Below are 6,116 nucleotides of genomic sequence, written 5' to 3'. Positions count from 1 at the left end.
AGAACATGTCCCGTGAGCGCCGTCACAGGGCAGAGTCAGAACCGGAACCCACGCCTTCCAACTCTTAGTCAGATGATTGTCTGTGACAGAATATTTGGAAGACTCCAAGGATGAGGCTTTTAATTTCAGACAAGTAAGTGCAAATTAGGAAGTGTATCAAAAGTCAGTGCATCGACTATGATAATCATTGTTTTGCCCTTATTATGTTCCAGGAACTGTTCTAAGGGCTTTACATGGATTGAGTACTTCCTTACACTGGGCTATTAGTCAGCTTTCACCAGGCTGTGTTACAGCAATAACCCCCAAATCTTAGTAGTTTACAATAACAGAGGTTGTAGGTGGTTGTGATGGGTGAGACTCCTCCAAATGGCTTCTTCAGTGCAGGATCAGGGTGAATGAGAAGACCCTATTTGAGATATGTCATTCTTGTGGCAGACAGAAAAGGGCGCAATGGCCCAGAAAGCCTTTGCTCAGTCAGGGCATATGTCATTTCCACTCAAATGCCACTGATCACGGCAAGTCACATGGCCAAGCCTGATGTCAATGAAAGGAACACAGCAAGTCACATGACAGTAGCCAGGGATAATGCAGCAGACTAGCAGACTAAATATTTCTGTTCCCTCAGAATTCATAGGTTAAAATCCTAATCCCTAATGTGATAGTATTAGAAGGTGGGACCTTTGGGAGTTGATCAGGTCATGGGGGTGGGGGCTTCGTGAATGGGATTAGTGCTCTTATTAAAGAGACCCAAGAGATCTCTCTCATCCTCTCTCTGCCATGAGGACACAAGGAGAAGTCATCCTGTCTCTGCCATATGAGGACACAAGGACAGAAGAGGGCCCTCGCCAGAACCCAAGTATGCTGGCATCATGATCTCAGACTTCCAGCTTCCAGAAGTTTAAAAAATAAATGTTTGTTTTTTAAGCCATCCAGTCTATGGCAATTTGCTATAGCAGCCAGAACAGCAGCTAAGACAGATGTGTGTCTGTGTGTGTGTGTGTGTGTCTCTGTGTGTGTGTCTGTGTGTGTGTGTGTCTGTGTGTGTCTGTGTGTGTCAGTGTGTGTGTGCGTCTGCGTGTGTGTCTGTGTGTGTGTCTGTGTGTGTCTGTGTGTGTCTGTGTCTGTGTGTTTGTGTCTGTGTGTGTGTCTGTGTGTCTGTGTCTGTGTGTGTCTGTGTGTGTGTGTCTGTGTGTGTGTCTGTGTGTGTGTGTGTCTGTGTGTGTGTCTGTGTGGGTGTGTGTCTGTGTCTGTCTGTGTGTGTGTGTCTGTGTGTGCCTGTGTGTGTCTTTTGTGTGTGTGTGTGTCTGTGTGTGTCTGTGTGTGTGTGTTTTAACATGAAAGGTAGCAAAATATTTGAAACAATATTGCAATCTACCACAATAAGAATCACCACTTAACATTTATAAGCTCATCTGATCTTCACAACAAAACCTATTAGGTACGTAAAACTATCATCTGTTATCTAAAGCTTATACAACAAATGAGAGACAGAGCTAGTATCTGAACCCAAGCAGTCAGCCTGAAGACTGATCCTTAATCAGCAGGCCATGCTGCTTTTCAAGATTTGCTGCCTCTCATCTGCTAACCCTCTGTCAGACACAGTTCCCTTCTCCCCTACTCCCTCCGCCAACTGGTAAAGTCAGCCAAATGCCTAATGCCGAGACTTCAGCCATCTGTTATTTTTACCTACATTGCCACATTCATTTATTTATTCAAAAATATATATTGAGCATCTGTGGACATGACGTGATACAAAGCAGTAGGCAGAGAGTGGGTACAAAGATACATCAGAAATAGATGATGGGTTCTGTTCCCATGAACCTAGTGAAAATTTATATAACTAAAATAATAAATCATAAACACATATGAACCTACAATTAAATTGCTATGGGAAAGCCAGAAGAATAAGCAAATTATTCTGGTGAAGGAGCTCTAGAAAAAGATGGGAGAGAGACATTTAGTTGTCTTTGAAGGATAGATGGAGTATGAAGGTGGGCAGATGGAAGGGAAGGAGAGGAATGCATGAATATAGGGCGTGAGGACATGTGGTGGGGCCACAGAACCATTAGTTCCAGGCCACATTCAGGAGGGCCCACAGAAAAGTTTATACCCTGACTCAGTAATGCATACATTGGCAATGCTAAAGACGTCCTATGTCACCCTATTTTAAACTATTCCAGTACTGGATCACACTGCCTGTGATGACTAGGAATGAGTATTTTTATAGACCCTGTAATTATCTTTGAATAGCACAATTATGTGACATTGTGTTTTGTAGACACTAAAAGCATTAATTTGATAAATGTTACCTTTGAAAATATATCAAATTTTTCAAATCTTGTTTTGGCTTTTCTTCATTTCTAAAAAATATACCAGCAGCTTCAAAAAAAGAAAGCAGATTTCATGTCTTTCAATGTCTTTACAGTAAAACACGGTGGGAAGAAAATACAATAATTTTGGCTGCAAAAAAATCATTCAGTTCATACTTCAACAAATATTTAATGAGCACTTAGTATAAACAGGGCCTTATTCTAGGTGTTGGGGATGTTGCAGTGAAGAAAGGGTACACATTTCTGTCGTCATGGCATCTGCATTCTGCTGAGTATATAAAAGAAGTAGTGAGAACTGAAAAGCTAAGTTGTGCATTTGTGGAGGAACCAGACCTTGACTGCCAGGCTAACTAGTAGGCAGCAGACAGTGGGGAGTCATTGAAAGTTTTCTGCAGAGACATGATGAAAGCTAGCCTTTAGGGGGTTAATCGGGCAGCACTACGGTAGGTGGAGGTGAACTAGAAAAAGGACTTGGGTGGAGGAAGGGGCATTCAGAAAGCAGTTTATGCCATGCAGAAGCAGTTCACGGTGTCCAGCAGATGCAAAACTGGTCCTGAAGTCAGGTAGGCAGAGTGAATGCAAAGGTTGGACAAGATGTAAAAGATCCCCATGAGATAGAACAGCAGGGGAAGAATTCCTCATTGTGTGAATGTGAAACCAAGGGAAAAAAGAAAATCAAAGTTCCTGTGTACTCATCTCTGGTAAGGGCAAGGTGGTTTAGCCCAGAGTGGGCTTTGGCATCAGATGACCCTAGCTTCAAAGTCTGGTCTGACATTTAACAGCTGTGAAACTTTGGGCAGGTTGGTCAATCTCTCTGAGCTTCAGTTACCCCATCTGTAAAAGTAAAAAATAATTCCTAACTGCAGGATTAAATAAGATAATAAGTGTAAATCACAGAACACAGACAGCTCCCAGTAGCTTTTTACTGTGATTATTATAGTTACATGGAAGATGAACTGCCTTGGGGGATGCATTTGAAGTAACTGCTGGACATCCAGAGGGAGATGTTGAGCATTTTCTGTGCTGAACACTTGACAAACCTCATCTCAGTTTGTCACGACAAGCCTTTGAGGAAGATATGGTTGTCATTACTATTTTACAAATGAAGAGAATGAGATTTAGTTAACTAAACTTAGCCCAGCCTAAGCAGCTAGTGAGGTGCAGAACTCAGGTCCCCCGACTCCAAAGCCCATACTCTTAAAACATTCAAGGTTCGGAGCAAACCCAGAAGAGCCACTTGATTTAGTTTAAAAACTCTCACTTTCCCTGGCCACCCATCCTCAAACGCCTCCCACAGGCACCACTTGGCTGGCCCTGATTCTCCTGCGTGCTTGTGAAGGAATGAGTTCAGTCTGAAGGGAGCCACCCTGCCCATCTCAGCAGCCTCTTTTGGTAGATTAGAACAGATTTTGCTGTTTCTGCTCAGATACTTATTAGTTAGCATAATCACGGTCATAGACAGTCGGCTCTTTTGGCCCTGGTCAGGTAGTCATTGTCCTTCCAGATTTGCTATGTCCTATCTCTGGTAATATTCACCAAGCTTCCTGGGGCTGGGAGTTAACATGATTGAAACACACCAACCCAGGAGTCAAGACCCAGGTTCATTTTAGGCCTTTATCACTTACTACCTGTTCGATTTGGGGAAAGTTTCTTGTCCTTTTTGAGCTTCTTTCTCTTCTTCATTTGCAAAGCAGAGATAATGACCCCAGGTTCAAACCAATCAACAAGGAAATGAAGACAATCTGCAGAAGGAATCACTGTGCAACTAGCAACCGTTTTCTGTGACACCCCCTAGTCCTAACAGTGCCCAGATGGAGGAATGAGAAAGATGTGGGCTCTTAGCCCCAGAAGATGTCAGGAGATTCATGAGCCACAGAATATGCCCAAAGGAAACATCTTCCTGACCCTTTCATCAGACTACCTTGACCTTCTGTTAGACCTATTTTAATTCTTCTTTTGTTTCCCAAGTGCAGTCATATTGACTCATATTTCACTCAAGAAAATGTGTGGCATTCACAGAAACAGCTCTGTCCCTCTTATTTTGATGTTAACTTCAGCATTACCTGTGTAGATTACAGGTTTCTGATCCAAAACAAGCTCTGCTTAAAACAGAATGGAAGCAGCTCTCTGACTCACTTAGCAGGTTAATATCAAGCATGTTAATAGCTTTGCCATTGCTCAGTGAACAGATTCTAGCAACAAAGACTACTATGGTGTTCTTTCCTAATAATTTTCTGTGTATAGATCCACAAATTGGCTTTCAGAAATTCATGGCACAAAGATGGCATTTGCCAGCCAGTATTTGGAAAGAATCTGATATTCTCAGAAGAAAAAGTATGATGCAAATTGTTCTGTAATGCTAGGGGAGCTTAACTTTGCTTCTATTCGAAGTCAATCCCTTTAAAATATTGGCCGGGCACAGTGGCTCATGCCTGTAATCCTAGCACTTTGGGAGGCTGAGGCAGGCAGACTGCTTGAGGTCAGGGGTTCCAGGCCAGCCTGGCCAACATGGTGAACCCCGTCTCTACTACTAATACAAAAATTAGCCAGATGTGGTGGCAGGTGCCTGTAATCCCAGCTACTCGGGAGGCTGAGGCAGGAAAATCACTTGAACCTGGGAGGTGGAGGTTGCAATGAGCCAAGATGCGCCACTGCACCCCAGCCTGGATGACAGAGCAAGACTACATCTCAAAAAAAATAAATCAATAACTAAAATAAGATAAATAAAATATGAACTCATCTCACTGAGCAAAGACCTGCCTTTTTATTGACATTCACTTCTCACACTGCCTCACAAGCAGGCGTTTTCGTGTTTTCCTTTTCTTTTCCTTTAATGTATGATCTGGCCTGTCTAAGGAGACACTGAAATGCCAGAGCAATCAAGCGAATAATCGGCATTTACTGTGGGCTCTGCCACATTTTCCAACCAGAAGGACAGCAGAGTTGAATGAGTGGGGGTCTCTTTGCATGTGGCTTTGTGCAGCAGGCCTGCCAAGCATTACTATTCCAGCCCTTAAACCTGTGCCAGACTGTTAATGTCTTAATGCTTATTCAAGTGTCAGGGAGTGCTGGCAGATGTCAGAGAGAATGGGAGGCTGTCAATAAGGAAATTACTTACATTCACAGGGTGATTGCAGCAGTCTGTCAGGTAGCGTTTGAGAGGATGTCATGCTGAAAGAAGGAAGCCAAGGGAAAAAAAAAAAGGGTGGCAGCAAACAGCATTGAGGGAGAGTCTTTAAAAAAATTGTTTGTGGATTTTTTTTTCTTTTATTTCTGGAGCTAAACTTCAGATACAACAGTCACACACAGGTCAAGAAATAAACAAGAAGGTATTTCCTATTTGTGGAGACCTTAAACACAAGAGCTGCGTGACAAGGGGCTTTCGTTGCTTGAAACTGACAAAAAATTCAAGCTCTTTTCTGAGATGGTAGCAGGAATTAGCAACGCATAGGGTGTTCCATACGTTATATATGTCATCCAACAACCCTTTACCTACCTACTATGTGCTAGGTGTGATCAATAATGCAGTGACTAAATGTACACAGGAAATATATTTTTAAAACACATTTTTTAAATTCTAGGCAGGGAAAGACATCTTCTTTGCTGTGCAGTTTTAAGATGAAGAATTTGAATGAAGTAGTATCTCACCCATGCAACTTTCACAGCGCATGCCTTTCTTTGCTTGCATGGGGAGGGGACTTGAAGAATGAGCTTCTGGAGAAGGCAATCTTGCCTTTAAAAGCCTCTCTTAGTTGTTCCGGATTTGCCATGGTGATTCTATTTATT

The 6,116-nt window shown here is 42.6% G+C and overlaps 1 long non-coding RNA gene across 1 annotated transcript; it reads right to left on the bottom strand.

Annotated features, from left to right (window-relative positions):
* Nucleotides 3,947-6,116, bottom strand: LOC105377306 (uncharacterized). Its single transcript, XR_938933.3, has 3 exons — nucleotides 5,979-6,116; nucleotides 5,449-5,501; nucleotides 3,947-4,072 (listed from the first exon to the last, which is right to left on the bottom strand). It is a non-coding gene; the product is annotated as an uncharacterized LOC105377306 (long non-coding RNA).

The sequence above is a fragment of the Homo sapiens genome, chromosome 4 (assembly GCF_000001405.40).
Source record: "Homo sapiens chromosome 4, GRCh38.p14 Primary Assembly".
NCBI classification, from domain to species: domain Eukaryota; kingdom Metazoa; phylum Chordata; class Mammalia; order Primates; family Hominidae; genus Homo; species Homo sapiens.
The sequence above is the reverse complement of the archived record's forward strand: the minus strand, read 5'-3'. Positions and strand labels throughout refer to the sequence as shown.